This window comes from Homo sapiens, chromosome 4 (assembly GCF_000001405.40).
Source record: "Homo sapiens chromosome 4, GRCh38.p14 Primary Assembly".
Classification (NCBI taxonomy): domain Eukaryota; kingdom Metazoa; phylum Chordata; class Mammalia; order Primates; family Hominidae; genus Homo; species Homo sapiens.
The window spans coordinates 77,503,310-77,522,064 of record NC_000004.12 but is presented as its reverse complement, the minus strand read 5'-3'; the positions used below and the strand labels follow the sequence as shown (position 1 = coordinate 77,522,064).

The window sequence follows — 18,755 nt, the reverse complement described above, 5'->3', positions numbered from 1 at the left end:
CACAGTGCAATCAAATTAGAACTCAGGATTAAGAAATTCACTCAAAACTGCACAACTACATGGAAACTGAACAACCTGTTCCTGAATGACTACTGGGTAAATAACAAAATGAAGGCAGAAATAAAGATGTTCTTTGAAACCATAAGAACAAAGACAAAATGTACCAGAATCTCTGGGACACATTTAAAGCAGTGTGTAGAGGAAAATTTATAGCACTAAATGCCCACAAGAGAAAGCTGGAAAGATCTAAAATTGACATCCTAACATCACAATTAAAAAAACTAGAGAAGCAAGAGCAAACAAATTCAAAAGCTAGCAGAAGGCAAGAAATAACTAAGATCAGAGAAGAATTGAAAGAGAGACAAAAATACCCTTCAAAAAATCAATGAATCCAGGAGCTGTTTTTTTTAAAAGATCAACAAAATTGAGAAACCACTAGCAAGACTAATAAAGAGAAAAGAAAGAAGAAACAAATAGACACAATAAAAAATGATAAAGGGGATATCACCACCGATCCCACAGAAATACAAACTACCATCAGAGAATACTATAAACACCTCTACACAAATAAACCAGAAAACTTAGAAGAAATGGATAAATTCCTGGACACATACACCCTCCCAAGACTAAACCAGGAAGAAGTTGAATCTCTGAATAGACCAATAACAGTCTCTGAAATTGAGGCAATAATTAATAGCCTACCAACCAAAAAAAGTCCAGGACCAGATGGATTCACAGCTGAATTCTACCAGAGGTACAAAGAGGAGCTGGTACCATTCCTTCTGGAATCATTACAATCAATAGAAAAAGAGGGAGTCCTCCCTAACTCATTTATGAGGCCAGCATCATCCTGATACCAAAGCCTGGCAGAGACACAACAAAAAAAGAGAATTTTAGTCCAATATCCCTGATGAACACCCGTGTGAAAATCCTCAATAAAATACTGGCAAACCAAATCCAGCAGCACATCAAAAATCTTACCCAACACGATCAAGTTGGCTTCATCCCTGGGATGCAAGGCTGGTTCAACATACGCAAATCAATAAACATAATCCATCACATACACAGAACCAGTGACAAAAAACCACATGATTATCTCAATGGATGCAGAAAAGGCCTTCAAGAAAATTCGACAGCACTTTTTCTTAAAAACTCTCAATAAACTAGATATTGATGGAACACATCTCAAAATAATAAGAGCTATTTATGACAAACTCACAACCAATATCATACTGAATGGGCAAAAACTGGAAGCATTCTCTTTGAAAACTGGCACAAGACAGAGATGCCCTCTCTCACCACTCCTATTCAACATAATGTTGGAAGTTCTGGCCAGGACAATCAGGCAAGAGAAAGAAATAAAGTGTATTCAATTAGGAAAAGAGGAAGTCACATTGTCCCTGTTTGAGGATGATATGATTGTATATTTAGAAAACCCCATTGTCTCAGCCCAAAATCTCCTTAAGCTGATAAGCAACTTCAGCAAAGTCTCAGGATACAAAATCAATGTGCAAAAATCACAAGCATTTCTATACACCAATAGCAGACAAACAGAGAGCCAAATGATGAGTGAACTCCCATTCACAATTGCTGCAAAAAGAATACAGTACCTAGGAATCCAACTTACAAGGGATGTGAAGGACCTCTTCAAGGAGAACTACAAACCACTGCTCAAGGAAATAAAAGAGGACACAAACAAATGGAAGAACATTCCATGCTCATGGGTAGGAAGAATCAATATCTTGAAAATGGTCATATTGCCCAAGGTAATTTATAGGTTCAATGCCATCCCCATCAAGCTACCAATGACTTTCTTCACAGAATTGGAAAAAACTACTTTAAAGTTCATATGGAACCAAAAAAGAGCCCGCATTGCCAAGACAATCCTAAGCCAAAAGAATGAAGCTGGAGGCATCACGCTACCTGACCTCAAACTATACTACAAGGCTACAGTATCCAAAACAGCATGGTACTGGTACCAAAACAGAGATATAGACCAATGGAACAGAACAGAGCCCTCAGAAATAACACCACACATCTACAACCATCTGATCTTTGACAAACCTGACAAAAACAAGAAATGGAGAAAGCATTCCCTATTTAATAAATGGTGCTGGGAAAACTGGCTAGCCATATGTAGAAAGCTGAAACTGGATCCCTTCCTTACACCTTATACGAAAATTAATTCAAGATGGATTAAAGACTTAAATGTTAGACCTAAAATCATAAAAATCCTAGAAGAAAACCTAGGCAATACCATTCAGGACATAGGCATGGGCAAGGACTTGATGTCTAAAACACCAAAAGCAATGACAACAAAAGCCAAAATTGACAAATGAGATCTAATTAAACTAAAGATCTTCTGCACAGCAAAAGAAACTACCATCACAGTGAACAGGCAACCTACAGAATGGGAGAAAACTTTTGCAATTGACCCATCTGACAAAGGGCTAATATCCAGAATCTACAAAGAACTCAAACAAATTCATGAGAAAAAAACAACCCCATCAAAAAGTAGGCAAAGGATATGAACAGACACTTCTCAAAAGAGGACATTTATGCAGCCAACAGACACATGAAAAAATGCTCATCATCACTGGTCATCAGAGAAATGCACATCAAACCACAATGAGATACCATCTCATGGGGGAGGAGCCAAGATGGCCGAATAGGAACAGCTCCGGTCTACAGCTCCCAGCGTGAGTGACGCAGAAGACGGGTGATTTCTGCATTTCCATCTGAGCTTTGAAGAGAACAGTGGTTCTCCCAGCACGCAGCTGGAGATCTGAGAACGGGCAGACTGCCTCAAGTGGGTCCCTGACCCCTGACCCCTGAGCAGCCTAACTGGGAGGCATCCCCCAGTAGGGGCAGACTGACACCTCACATGGCCAGGTACTCCTCTGAGACAAAACTTCCAGAGGAACGATCAGACAGCAGCATTCACGGTTCACAAAAAACCACTGCTCTGCAGACACCGCTGCTGATACCCAGGCAAACAGGATCTGGAGTGGACCTCTAGCAAACTCCAACAGACTTGCAGCTGAGGGTCCTCTCTGTTAGAAGGAAAACTAACAAACAGAAAGGACATCCACACCAAAAACCTATCTGTACATCACCATCATCAAAGTCCAAAACTAGATAAAACCACAAAGATGGGGAAAAAACAGAGCAGAAACACTGGAAACTCTAAAAAGCAGAGCACCTCTCCTTCTCCAAAGGATCGCAGTTCCTCACCAGCAATGGAACAAAGCTGGATGGAGAATGACTTTGAAGAGTTGAGAGAAGAAGGCTTCAGACAATCAAACTATGAGCTACAGGAGGAAATTCAAACCAAAGGCAAAGAAGTTAAAAACTTAGAAAAAAATTTAGACGAATGTATAACTAGAATAACCAATATAGAGAAGTGCTTAAAGGAGCTGATGAAGCTGAAAGCCAAGGCTCGAGAACGACGTGAAGAATGCAGAAGCCTCAGGAGCTGATGCGATCAACTGGAAGAAAGGGTATCAGCAATGGAAGATGAAATGAATGAAATGAAGCAAGAAGGGAAGTTTAGAGAAAAAAGAATAAAAAGAAATGAACAAAGCCTCCAAGAAATATGGGACTATGTGAAAAGACCAAATCTACATCTCATTGGTGTACCTGAAAGTGACAGGGAGAATGGAACCAAGTTGGAAAACACTCTGCAGGATATTATCCAGGAGAACTTCCCCAATCTAGCAAGGCAGGCCAACATTCAGATTAGGGAAATACAGAGAACGCCACAAAGATACTCCTCCAGAACAGCAACTCCAAGACACAGAATTGTCAGATTTACCAAAGTTGAAATGAAGGAAAAAATGTTAAGGGCAGCCAGAGAGAAAGGTCGGGTTACCCACAAAGGGAAGCCCATCAGACTAACAGCGGATCTCTCAGCAGAAACTCTACAAGCCAGAAGAGAGTGGGGGCCAATATTCACCATTCTTAAAGAAAAGAATTTTCAACCCAGAATTTCATCTCCAGCCAAACTAAGCTTCATAAATGAAGGAGAAATAAAATCCTTTACAGACAAGCAAATGTCACCACCAGGCCTGCCCTTAAAGAGCTCCTGAAGGAAGCACTAAACGTGGAAAGGAACAACCGGTACCAGCCGCTGCAAAATCATGCCAAAATGTAAAGACCATTGAGACTAAAAAGAAACTGCATCAACTGACGAGCAAAATAACCAGCTGACATCATAATGACTGGTTCAAATTCACACATAACAATATTAACTTTAAATGTAAATGGACTCAATGCTCCAATTAAAAGACACAGACTGGCAAATTGGATAAAGAGTCAAGACCCATCAGTGTGTTGTATTCGGGAAACCCATCTCACATGCAGAGACACACATAGGCTCAAAATAAAGGGATGGAGGAAGATCTACCAAGCAAATGGAAAACAAAAAAAGGCAGGGGCTGCAATCCTAGTCTCTGGTAAAACAGACTTTAAACCAACAAAGATCAAAAGAGACAAAGAAGGCCATTACATAGTGGTAAAGGGATCAATTCAACAAGAAGAACTAACTATCCTAAATATATATGCACCCAATACAGGAGCACCCAGATTCATAAAGCAAGCCCTGAGTGACCTACAAAGAGACTTAGACTCCCACACATTAATAATGGGAGACTTTAACACCCCACTGTCAACATTAGACAGATCAATGAGACAGAAAGTCAACAAGGATACCCAGGAATTGAACTCAGCTCTGCACCAAGTGGACCTAACAGACATCTACAGAACTCTCCACCTCAAATCAACAGAATATACATTTTTTTCAGCACCACACCACACCTATTCCAAAATTGACCACATAGTTGGAAGTAAAGCTCTCCTCAGCAAATGTAAAAGAACAGACATTATAACAAACTATCTCTCAGACCACAGTGCAATCAAACTAGAACTCAGGATTAAGAAACTCACTCAAAACCACTCAACTATATGGAAAATGAACAACCTGCTCCTGAATGACTACTGGGTACATAACAAAATGAAGGCAGAAATAAAGATGTTCTTTGAAACCAACGAGAACAAAGACACAAGATACCAGAATCTCTGGGACACATTCAAAGCAGTGTGTAGAGGGAAATTTATAGCACTAAATGCCCACAAGAGAAAGCAGGAAAGATCCAAAATTGACACCCTAACATCAAATTAAAAGAAGTAGAAAAGCAAGTGCAAACACATTCAAAAGCTAGCAGAAGGTAAGAAATAACTAAGATCAGAGCAGAACTGAAGGAAATAGAGACACAAAAACCCTTCAAAAAATTAATGAATCCAGGAGCTGGTTTTTTGAATGGATCAACAAAATTGATAGACCACTAGCTAGACTAATAAAGAAAAAAAAGAGAGAAGAATCAAATAGACACAATAAAAAATGATAAAGGGGATATCACCACTGATCCCACAGAAATACAAACTACCATCAGAGAATACTACAAACACCTCTATGCAAATAAACTAGAAAATCTAGAAGAAATGGATAAATTCCTCCACACATACACTCTCCCAAGACTAAACCAGGAAGAAGTTGAATCTCTGAATAGACCAATAACAGGAGCTGAAATTGTGGCAATAATCAATAGCTTACCCACTAAAAGGAGTCCAGGACCAGATGGATTCACAGCCGAATTCTACCAGAGGTACAAGGAGGAACTGGTACCATTCCTTCTGAAACTATTCCAATCAATAGAAAAAGAGGGAATCCTCCCTAACTCATTTATGAGGCCAGCATCATCCTGACACCAAAGCCGGGCAGAGACACAACCAAAAAAGAGAATTTTAGACCAATATCCTTGATGAACATTGATGCAAAAATCCTCAATAAAAAACTGGCAAACTGAATCCAGCAGCACATCAAAAAGCTTATCCACCATGATCAAGTGGGCTTCATCTCTGGGATGCAAGTCTGGTTCGATATATGCAAATCAATAAATGTAATCCAGCATATAAACAGAACCAAAGACGAAAACCACATGATTATCTCAATAGATGCAGAAAAGGCCTTTGACAAAATTCAACAGCACTTCACGCTAAAAACTCTCAATAAATTAGGTACTCAAGGGACATATCTCAAAACAATAAGAGCTATCTATGACAAACCCACAGTCAATATCATACTGAATGTGCAAAAACTGGAAGCATTCCCTTTGAAAACTGGTGCAAGACAGAGATGCCCTCTCTCACCACTCCCATTCAACATAGTGTTGGAAGTTCTGGCCAGGGCAATTAGTCAGGAGAAGGAAATAAAGGGTATTCAGTTAGGAAAAGAGGAAGTCAAATTGTCCCTGTTGGCAGATGACATGATGGTATATCTAGAAAATCCCAATGTCTCAGCCCAAAATCTTCTTAAGCTGATAAGCAACTTCAGCAAAGTCTCAGGATACAAAATCAATGTGCAAAAATCACAAGCATTCTTATACACCAATAACAGACAAACAGAGAGCCAAATCATGAGTGAACTCCCATTCACAATTGCTTCAAAGAGAATAAAATACCTAGGAATCCACCTTATAAGGGATGTGAAGGACCTCCTCAAGGAGAACTACAAACCACTGCTCAATGAAATAAAAGAGGATACAAACAAATGAAAGAACCTTCCATGCTCATGGGTAGGAAGAATCAATATCGTGAAAATGGCCATACTGCCCAAGGTAATTTATAGATTCAATGCCATCCCCATCAAGCTACCAATGACTTTCTTCACAGAATTGGAAAAAACTACTTTAAAGTTCATATGGAACCAAAAAAGAGCCCACATCGCCATGTCAATCCTAAGCCAAAAGAACAAAGCTGGAGGCATCACGCTACCTGACTTCAAACTATACTACAAGGCTACAGTAACCAAAACAGCATGGCACTGGTACTAAAACAGAGATATAGATCAATGGAACAGAACAGAGCCCTCAGAAATAACTCCGCATATCTACAACCATCTGATCTTTGACAAACCTGACAAAAACAAGCAATGGGGAAAGGATTCCCTATTTAATAAATGGTGCTGGGAAAACTGGCTAGCCATATGTAGAAAGCTGAAACTGGATCCCTTCCTTACACCTTATACAAAAATCAATTCAAGATGGATTAAAGACTTAAACGTTAGACCTAAAACCATAAAAATCCTAGAAGAAAACCTAGACATTACCATTCAGGACATAGGCACGGGTAAGGACTTCATGTCTAAAACACCAAAAGCAATGGCAACAAAAGCCAAAATTGACAAATGGGATCTAATTAAACTAAAGAGCTTCTGCACAGCAAAAGAAACTACCATCAGAGTGAACAGGCATCCCACAAAATGGGAGAAAATTTTCGCAACTTACTCATCTGACAAAGGGCTAATATCCAGAATCTACAATGAACTCAAACAAATTTACAAGAAAAAAACAAACAACCCCATCAAAAAGTGGGCGAAGGACATGAACAGACACTTCTCAAAAGAAGACATTTATGCAGCCAAAAAACACATGAAAAAATGCTCACCATCACTGGCCATCAGAGAAATGCAAATCAAAACCACAATGAGATATCATCTCACACCAGTTAGAATGGCAATCATTAAAAAGTCAGGAAACAACAGGTGCTGGAGAGGATGTGGAGAAATAGGAACACTTTTACACTGTTGGTGGGACTGTAAACTAGTTCAACCATTGTGGAAGTCAGTGTGGTGATTCCTCAGGGATCTAGAACTAGAAATACCATTTGACCCAGCCATCCCATTACTGGGTATATACCCAAAGGACTATAAATCATGCTGCTATAAAGACACATGCACACATATGTTTATTGCAGCACTATTCACAATAGCAAAGACTTGGAACCAACCCAAATGTCCAACAATGACAGACTGGATTAAGAAAATGTGGCACATATACACCATGGAATACTATGCAGCCATAAAAAATGATGAGTTCATGTCCTTTGTAGGGACATGGATGAAATTGGAAATCATCATTCTCAGTAAACTATTGCAAGAACAAAAAACCAAACACCACATATTCTCGCTCATAGGTGGGAATTGAACAATGAGAACACATGGACACAGGAAGGGGAACATCACACTCTGGGGACTGTTGTGGGGTGGGGGTAGTGGGGAGCGATAGCACTGGGAGATATACCTAATGCTAGATGACGAGTTAGTGGTTGCAGCACACCAGTATGTCACATGTATACATATGTAACTAACCTGCACATTGTGCACATGTACCCTAAAACTTAAAGTATAAAAAAAAAAAAAAAAGAGATACCATCTCACACCAGTTAGAATGGAAATAGTTAAAAAGTCAGGAAACAGGCCAGGTGTGGTGGCTCATGCCTGTAATCCCAGCATTTTGGGAGGCTGAGTTGGGTGGATCACAAGGTCAGGAGATGGAGGCCATCCTGGCTAACATGGTAAAACCCCGACTCTACTAAAAAGACAATAAAATTAGCTTGGCCTGGTGGTGGGCACCTGTAGTCCCAGCTACTCAGGAGGCTGAGGCAGGAGAATCCTGTGAACCCAGGAGGCGGAGCTTGGAGTGGGCTGAGATTGTGCCACTGCACTCCAGCCTGGGCAATAGAGTGAGACTCCGTCTCAAAAAAAAAAAAAAGTCAGGAAACAACAGATGCTGGAGAGGATGTGGAGAAATAGGAATGCTTTTACACTGTTGGTGGGAGTGTAAATTAGTTCAACCATTGTGGAAGACAGTGTGGCAATTCCTCAAGAATCTAGAACTAGAAATACCATTAGACCCAGCGATCCCATCACTGGGTATATGCCCAAAGGATTATAAATCAGGCTACTATAAAGACACATGCTTTATTGTGGCACTGTTCACAATAGCAAAGACTTGGAACCGACCCAAATGTCCATCAGTGATAGACTGAATTAAGAAAATGTGGCACATATACACCATGGAATACCATGGTGTATATGGAATAGCCATAAAAAAGGATGAGTTCATGTCCTTTTCAGGGACATGGGTGAAGGTGGAAACCATCATTCTCAGCAAACTATCACGAGGACAGAAAACCAAACACCACATGTTCTCACTCATAGGTGGGAATTAAACTATGAGAACACTTGGACACAGGATGGGGAACATCACAAACTGGGGCCTGTCGTGGGGTTGGGGGAGTGGTGAGGTATAGCATTAGGAGAAATACCTAACGTAAATGATGAGTTAATGGGTGCAGCACACCAACACGGCACATGTATACCTATGTATGAAACCTGCACATTGTGCACATGTACCCCAGAACTTAAAGTATAATAATAACAATAACAAAAAATATACACTAAAGTAATGTTCTGGGTTAAATTGTGTCCTTCCACCACCCAAATCATCTGTTCAAGTCCTAACCTCTAGTATCTTAGAATAATACTGTATTTGGAGACAGGGTTTTTAAAGAGGCAATTAAGTTAAAATGAGATCATCAGGATGGGCCCTAATCCAATATGACTGGTGTCCTTATAAGAAGAGAAAATTTGGACACAGACACACAGAGAAAAGGCCCTATGAAGAGCAAGGGAGAAGACAGCCATTTACAAGCCAAAGAGGGAAGCATCAGAAGAAACCAACCATGCTGACATCCTGATCTTGGATTTCTAGCCTCCAGGATGGATAGACAATTACTTTATTATTCAACCCACTCAGTATGTGTTACTGTGCTATGGAAGCTCTAGCAAACTAATAGAAGTAGTAATAGCAGCAACATGTGATGATAGAATTACATAAATTTACTCTTTGATACTCTGCATTTCCTGACTTCTATAAAATTAACTACAAATTTTGCCACTAAATTTATTTAATGCTGTAACTACACTAAACTGAGAGATGGTCAGGATGAATCTAATGAGAAAACAAGAATTAAAGAGGCAGCAAGCAGGCTAATTAGTTTCCCTGTTTCTCATTGAATAATATGGAAGTAAAAATCAGATTCACAGTTTAAGTCGAATGAGCTTTAAAGTTTCGATCAAAGAAAAATGTTCTGAACGGTTAGTCCTCTGAACAGACTATACAACCAAGGCCTCTCTCCATTACCTGGAAGTGGATCTTCAAGGTGCTCCATGGCACAGTGCTCCAACAATGATTCTGGGGGCTTCCAAACCCTTGATTTGAGACTCAGAACAAATAGAACATACACATTCCTTAGTATAACTTGGAAACAAATTCCAGATGAGGGCTGCCCCAGTTCAAAAAGAATGATAGACATTAACTCTGGAAGTTACCCAGCCACTGGAGAATTGGTAGGGTTGACATATTCAACCTCTCACCTCATTAGCAGAGTCAGTTTTTTCAAACATCTTCTCCTTTCGCTCCCTTGAATAAATGTAATGGTCCAAGAGTAGTCAGAGATGATTAGATTAAATCTGTGGGACCTGGGGACCTTCGTCAACTTGTCCAATCCTCTCATTTTACAAGGGTGACAACTGGGACCCTGAAATGCTCAGGGTAATGTATATGTGCATGTGTGCCTGCAGAATATTTATAGCAGTCTACCTCAGTCTGAAGTTAGAGATAAAGAATCCTCAGAGACATACCAAGTCTAAAATTTCTCATGCTAGGAACAGAACTTTGGATTCTCTTGATAGGCCTTGTTTAATATCTCAGAGGAAAATAAATTTAAGGGATGTTCCAAAATTAATTGCTTATCTTATAAAGTTGGGCTAAAAGTTAAAATCCTATCAGTAGAACATATGGAAGATATAAATAGATTAATAGTTGGAGAAAGCTGTACTATAAATGAAAAGTAACTCAATCTCACCAGCAATGTTCAATACTTACTCTTGATAAATTATTTTCTTTCTTCAACGTGCATATACCTTCTCTCTTCAACATGTAGGTACTTGTTTTACAGTCCTTTGGAATTGATAACGTAGGGAGCTAATTCATTTGAGACCTAAAGGGTTAAATAAACTATAGTGTATTTCCATTATATGTACTCCAACTCTCAGACCTTAATTGTATGCCTATACACTAAGAATATTTTAGGATATAAAATTGGGTAGGACGGTCCTTCACCTTAAGGAGAGCTCATTCTGGTAGAGAAATTGGACACATGAGGCATTGTTAAACAAGGGGTCTCAAGGCTGTGATTAGAAAATGTTATCCTCTTATTCCCAATTACCTGTTCTAATTCACTCTTCAAGTTTATATTCAAGGGAAAAAAAGTTCTTCCTGACCTTTGGAAGAAATCTAGGACACGTCTCGTGATCTTTCTGGTATATTCCAAATAATGCCTTCTGGTCACTTCCAGAGACAACAGGGCTTGTTTCAGATTTCATTGAAAGATCAAGATTTCCCTTCTACTAGCTTAAGCCTGCTCCCGAGGCACAGACAGCTTCTCCATGCCCCTGTCCTGAAGCTCTGCCCCTCTTCTCCCACTCACCCGGCTGCATCTGGTTCCTCTAAGGCTGGAGCCCAAGGTGAAGGTGAGGGCTGGAGTTCTAAGAGGCAGGAAAGGGCTTGGCTGGCTTTCAGGTAATCTCATGTTGGCTCCCTTGGGCCAGGGCAAGTGTTTGACTGACAGTCTGTCACGTGGGTTATTTGAAGGCTCCCCGTAGGAATGCAAAGCAAACTGCTCTGACATGAGTGATGCGTTTTCTTTCCAGTGGCTGCTTATATCTCCTACCTCCAAGCCTGGCAGTCGAATGGGCCATCTCTCAGTTGGAATAACTGCCCCTCCATAAAGTCCTTTTGGGTGGAATTTAAAATGGCTCTAAACTGGTATGGTCTCTCTGTCTCTCTCTCTGCAACTCTCTCTGTCTCAGACGAAAAGAAACCTAGAACACTGAACTGTCAAGGCAACGCAGCTGGCTCCCAATGCAGCTGGTTGAGCTCTCTTTGCTCTACTGTCTTTGGCTAATTGTCACAGTTTCTGGCCCTTAAATCCTTCTGGAGTTTTTGCTGCTCTGTCCCCTGAACTGCAAGAGGCATAGATCAGACTCTCTTAGCTCATCAAAGCCCTGATTGCTAGGCTTGAGGAATGGGAAAGAACCCTCTACCTCTCTTCTGTGTGGTAGGAAAGGCCCACAGCATACTAATAACACTCTCCAAAGAAATTATTTTTCCTAGATTCCAATTTATTGACTGAATTCTTAACCATCACTAAAATGGCCTGGATATGGCCAGGAGCCAGCTTGTTTCTTCTCTACAAGTTTTGTCTAGGCATATAGCACCTCACTTTGGATTGTGGGATTGGCTGCTTTTTGGTCCTTGGCAAAAACTAAGGCTGAGTCCCATCTTGTAATACAAGCAAATATGTCATGAATGTGACAAGTGAATGCTAGGATAGAGACATGCAAAAGCTTTTGTAGCAAATACTACTAGTCTATACTAGGAAAGGGAGGTGTTAGTAAAAGTTTCCCATAAAGCTGGCACCTGAGATGAGTTCCAAGCCATAAAAGTTGGACAAGAGGAAAAAAGACATTTCATGTGAGTTTGTTTGCAATTGCAGGGTCCATTTGGATCACTTGTGGTTGTTTGCTATAGTAGATAGTGTTATTCTCATATTCTGCATTTTTACCAAACAAAACACCAGCGTTTAATATTGTGAATATTGTGAAGTATTCTTGCCAAGAACAGTTGAACCTAGAGTCTGTAGAGCAAGCTTTTATTAACAGAAGATACAGGGATAGAAGAACAAGTAAATGACATCAGTACAAGGAAGCAGACAAATCCAGAATGGGGGACCATTCTGCAGAACTGACTTATTTACTGTAAGATGACAATGGCCGGAGAAAAAGTTGGGAAAGGGGACAACTTCATGTAAGAGACACAGCAATCCAATGTAAATGTATGGACTTTGTAGATGATGCCAAAGAATTATTAATGATTTTATTAAGTATAACCTGGCATTCTGGTCAAGAACATATTCTTTAAGGGCCACATACTGAATTACGAAATGATGAAATGACACAATGCCTGGTGTTTACTTTGAAATACTTTAACAAAGAAAAGACAAAAGGGACAGTTAAGCCAATAGAGAAAATCTTTGGTAATTGTTGAATCTGGGTAATGGGTAAATGAGACTCATTATTTTAATTTTGCTAATACTTAAACATTTTAATAACTTTTTTCAAAGTTTCTTTCTTGCTTGTGTGCGATGCCCTTGTTGGTGGGATGCTTTCCTCCTTGTGATGCTCCAGGGACCCTGATCCTCTTATCTTGTGGTTCTGCTGTGCCCTAGGGCCTCTGAGTTCTCTGCATCCAGATGGGCAGTAGGAAGGAGAGAACCCTATCAGGTACACCCATTCTTAAGACTGTAGTGCAGAAGCGACATACTTACTTCCACTGACATCTGTGAGCAAAGCTCATCCCATGGCTTCATCTAGATTCAGGGTAGGCGCTGGCTGTAGAGCAGCTTCCAGCAATTACTCTATGAAAGTGAAGCAAAGCTCTTCAGTGGTGGCTTACTGCCTCTATCACAAGCAGAGACAGAGATTCTTTTAGCAGGTGGGATGGGCCTCAACAATCTGCTTCTTCCACAACTCCTGCAGGGGACTCTGATGCCAGGTATGATGGTACCTTATGTTTACCCGCCTGAGCCACACTAGCCTTTCCCTACCCTGCCCATGCCCTGGGACTGACCTGCTTGGTCTGCATTATGAACTCCCTTGACCAGTGGCTTCTGGTGGGGTTCAACCAATGGAAAGCATCAGCAGAGACTGGAAAGGAGGAGGGTTGAGAGGGAAAGAAGCCTCTCAACCCCCAGCACCAGAGCCCATTAGATCGCCTTGTGGCGGCTTTGCTCCTCTGAGGTTCACAGCTCATTCTGCTGGCTCTCTCCACAGCCCTTTGTGTCTTGAGGTTCTGATAACTGCTCCCTCCTCTCACCCCCTCAATACCAATGCCTCTTCAGAATACTGGTTTTTATAAAATTTATTTCAAATGTATTTATCATTATTATTTCTAGAGATGGGGGGTCTCACCATGTTGGCCAGGCTGGTCTCAAACTCCTGGACTCAAGTGATCCACCTTCTTGGCCTCCCAGAGTGCTGGGATTACAGGCATGAGCCACTAAACCTGGCCTACAATACTGCTTTATCCATTGTGTCTTCTCTACACCTGCCCACACCCTCACAACGAGTACTTTTATTGCGTTCTCCTCAAATTCCCATCTGTTTGTGCCGGAACCCTGGCTGATACACAGGGGTCCTTGGACAACATTGAGAAGCACTATCTAGGAAGAATATGACACAGCCACTGAGGGACTATGAATGACACATTTGAACTACAGGCATTTAATGCAGCTGGAGCAAATTGGAGGGAAGCTAAGAATAGTGAAGTGCCAGGACCTGCACCATGAAAAGGCCTATCTGCCATGCTAGATCATCTGTCAGCAGCAGAAAGATTAATCAGAGGCTCTGCAGTAACAGGTGAGTTTCAACCTGGAGATAGTAAATAGTGAGAACAGAGAAGGAGAAAATTAAGATCCTATTGTTGGAATCCACTCAGTGTTACCAGCACTGCACTTGTGGACTAATGAAGCCATAGCATAGGAAAATAATGCCTCTGAAGAGAAAAACCAATGAGGTAGCTAAAGGAAGATCCTGATTTAGAAGAAAAGAACTACCAGGATTATCATGTCCCTTCTGCCACACTTCATTTCTGCATTTACCACAAGAAAGGCTGTGTTCAAACTTTGGAGGTTTCCCCCACCCACACATGAAGATTGACCATTCTAGGATCATTTATTATAGAAAAGAAAATGGAATTTGTTGTAGAGCCAGCTTTGCTAAACTATATTTGCTATGTGAAGTGAAAAATATCCAAAATGGGAAAGACTAAAAACTGTAAAGATAAATATTATTTGCTAAGCAGTATTAATGATTTAATGTTGCAGAGGCCCAGTGCTATAGAGACCTCTTATAAAGTATTCTTAAAGATCCCTAATATTTATGCAGAATTGGAATGAATTCAAAACAGAAATTTTATGTCTTCCCTTTTCCCCATTCTCTGCCTAGGAACTGACATTATTCCCTCAAGGTAAAAGAGCTTTGCATTGCTATATATTTGCATATTTATGTTCAGGCAGTTGCTTTAGAATATTATTTTGCTCTTTCCTACTGCTTTCTGCTTTGACTATATATATGTATATATATTTTTTGAGACAGTGTCTCACTCTGTCACCCAGGCTGGAGTGGAGTGGCATAATCTTAGCTTACTGCAACATCTACCTCCCATGCTCAAGCTATCCTCCCACATCTGCCTCCCAAGTGGCTGGGATCACAGGTGTGTGCCACCACACCCAGCTAATTTTTGTATTTTTTGTAGAGACAAGTTTTGCCATGTTGCCCAGGCTGGTCTTGAACTCCTGGGCTCAAGCGATCTGCCTGCCTCAGCCTCCCAAAGTGCTGGAATTACAGGTGTGAGCAACCACACCCGGCCCATCTTATGATTTGTAAATAGGATTCTGGGAGCTGATATATGAACTTTAGATAACATTTATCATCAATTTTGGCCCTAATTATAGGGCATTAGAAAATATTCCTTCCTTCCTTCATTAATAGCATGTTTTGTGATAGGGGAAACTAAAGTCTGTTTGCCTATTTCCCTTTGTATTGTGGGTGCCATGAGTTCAATAAAATTTTCTACATTTCTCAGAATTCAAACAATAAAGGATGTCCCCCTTACAACCTTCTAAGTTATTTTGATACTATTCTGGGGGAGGGGTCATTACCAGCATCACCTTTCATTGAATAATGGTTGGTATATTTTAAAACATGCTATCTTTCTCATTTGAAGGTATCTTCCACTAGCTTAATTTGGCTATAGTTTGTAGTCAAATAGAAGTATGCTTTTAACATTCAGTCCATGTTCCAAGTTTGACTTTTAAACTTAGGATTAGAATAAAAATTCAAGCCACTTTCCAGGTTTGCTCACTGCTCCTGGACATGTCAGTCAGTCCCCGGCCTACCCACAGCCCATGCTGAAGGGGTAGCACTAGGTGATCATGTTTGGCATCACGTGGCCAGGTGACTGGGCACCTGATAAAAGGGCTATCAATCCAATGCCAGGACATCTTTTCATACCCAGCTCTGTCATAAGCCAGTTCCTCTTCTCAGGAATTTGAACAAGGAATTACCAAGAGGAAGGGGAAAATAGAGGCAGCAGCAGCTGAGAGACCATGAGGTGGAGTTTTCTGTTACCCATATCACAAACCTATCACCTCAGGCACTTACGTCAGTCAGGAGATTCAAAGCAAAACACCTTTTTGAAAGCAAAAGACTTGACATTTGTCATTTTGTGAACTACTCCAGCCATCCCCATTCCCCACAAAAATCACAAGGCAATATTAGTTTGAGTCAGCCACATCACATTGTCTGACCAATTGCTACCCAACAATGCCCTGTAATTCAAAGACCCTTGTGTCATATTTTCATCCAAACTTTGGAATACACTCCAGGTGTTCAAGTTAATTTCTGTGTTTGGATGATCATACCAGCTGGACTTGCTTAGAACCAAGGAATGACCTCAATACAATCTCTCCTGTCTACAAAAGAATGGTGGTCACACATATTCAGATCATTCATTTCAGGAAACACTCACTGAACCAATGAGCTAACGATGCCCAAGTCTGGCACTAGATCAAGTTACTCTGCACATACCTTACCCAGGCTGAGGTTTCCTCGGCAGTATATTTCTGGCTCTCTGTTGGCCACAGCACATTCTTCTAAGGCCAGGTAGCCCGAGAAATAGCAAATACTCTTGGAAACAATTAGTCTAAATCCAAATATAGAGGAAACAGCCTATCTCAATATCAGGAGGGGACAAACCTTTTTAATTAAAATCTACCACATGTCACAGGATTGCTGATATTTCAGTAACCAGTGATGTTCCTTACCAAATCTAAGTTTACACTATGATGTTGAAGTTATGATAGTGACCAGATATACAGATAGACAAAGGAACATGAAACAAAAAGTAAAGGAACCATTTGATTGGTTAAATAACAGCTGCAAGATGACAGCTTTGGCCATGGAGGTGGGAATGCAGAACAAAGCTTGACTCCCCTTTCCACCCAAGCACCCTGACCTGACCCCTTCCCCTCTGGCCTTCTCCTTATTCCTCAGCTCAAGAAGGCTCTCTTTTAGTCAATATATCTTCCTGGTGGATTAACTACACGAGCCTCACCTGCAAAACTCAACAAAGCACAGTCTCATTTACTAGCAAACAGCCAAGTGGTATTCATGGCAGAATTTATATATTAAAAACAATTCACCTCCAGGTAAACTAGCAAACCTTAGTGGCTCAAAATATTTCTTGATGGTACCTTCCAGTCAAGCTTGATAGGCTATCAATCAATGAAACACTTTCACAGCTGTGAGAGGAAGACATTTTCAACATATTTCCATAAGTGGGCTTTGGGGAAATGAAAATGTAAAGGACCTTTATGTCATCAGTTCTGGAAACTGTGTGCAAATAATTAACACACTTGCCTCGTTTGACTTCTCAATCTTATGACGACAGACACCCAAATAATTTCCTATTTGCATACTGTGAGTGCAACTCAACACCCATTCATATATCTGTAAGGGTGAATCTATAGCTTTTATAGGTTATTTTGTGGTTGTTGTTTGGCCATAGCCTTTCTTTTTCAAACCTGTGGCTTAAATATCAATCTAATTCTAGGTTAGAAATCTTTTCTAACAAAAGTTATCCCACTGCTTATCTTAATTATGTAAATAATTCATTATAATCACTACAGTGAAAAAGGAGCCTTCCTATAAAGATGGGAAATGAGCTGTAATTCAATGCATTTTGGGAGCAATCATTGCTTTAAAAAAAAAACACAACAACCTAAGCTCTGCTATTACAGTTTTACATAGGAAAAAACACAGATTTGAAAATATTTTAATTTGCATTTTCTTGTACTCATTATGAGAACACTTCAGAGAATATTGGAAAGTTATTTCCTAACAAGGAAAGCAGATAACCTTGACTAATGCCAGTACTTGTATTTATTGATGTTTTACAGGCTAATAAACACTGAATTTTCTTAAAAAGTTATTTTTACTGACTAGGCATGGTGGCTTGCACCTGTAATCCCAGCACCTTGGGAGGCCGAGGTGGGCAGATCCCGTGAGCCCAGGAGTTCAGGACTAGTCTGGGCAACATAGCAAGACCTCAACTCTATAAAAAATACAAAAATTAGCCAGTGTGATGGTATGCACCTGTAGTCCCAGCTACTAGGGAGGCTGAGGTGGGAGGATCACTTGAATCCAGGACGCAGAAGTTGCAGTGAGCCGAGACTGTGTCACTGCATTCCAGCCTGGGTGACAAGAGAGACACTCTCTCAAAAAAAAAGTTACATTTACTGATTGATATAAAATAATTATGTATTTTGCAAACTTCTTTTTAACTAAAATATTTCCCTTTCTGCTCAGAAATACTTCTTCACTTGGCACTAAGAAAAAATAATGTAAAACTTGTTAGATATGCAACAGCATCCAACTAAGTTGAACAGCCTCATTTATACACACAAAATAGACAAAGCTCACCATAATTATATCAAATCACATCACTTGTTACAAATGAGATTGGTGTTAAGTTACGAAGTACAGAGAAGCCGAATGGTACCTATGATGTGAAGAGTATAGACATCCCAACAACTCACTAGGTTGGAATCAATTCCCAAGTTTGCCATTCCAAGAAAAGACACTGGAAGAAATAAAAGTAGGAATAGTTTAGGCATGCAATTATTTGCACTTTGCCATTTACAATTTGTTGTTTAATATGTATTTTGATGAT

General features: G+C 40.3%; 1 protein-coding gene across 1 annotated transcript in view; it reads right to left on the bottom strand.

Annotated features, from left to right (window-relative positions):
- The window catches only part of CXCL13 (C-X-C motif chemokine ligand 13), a 100,082-nt gene extending 89,770 nt beyond the window's left edge, over nucleotides 1–10,312 (bottom strand). Inside the window, exon 1 of the mRNA NM_006419.3 lies at nucleotides 10,277–10,312. The gene's annotated coding sequence lies outside the window, so the exon portion shown is untranslated. The remainder of the gene's footprint in view (nucleotides 1–10,276) is intronic.
- Nucleotides 10,313–18,755: the final 8,443 nt, after the last annotated feature.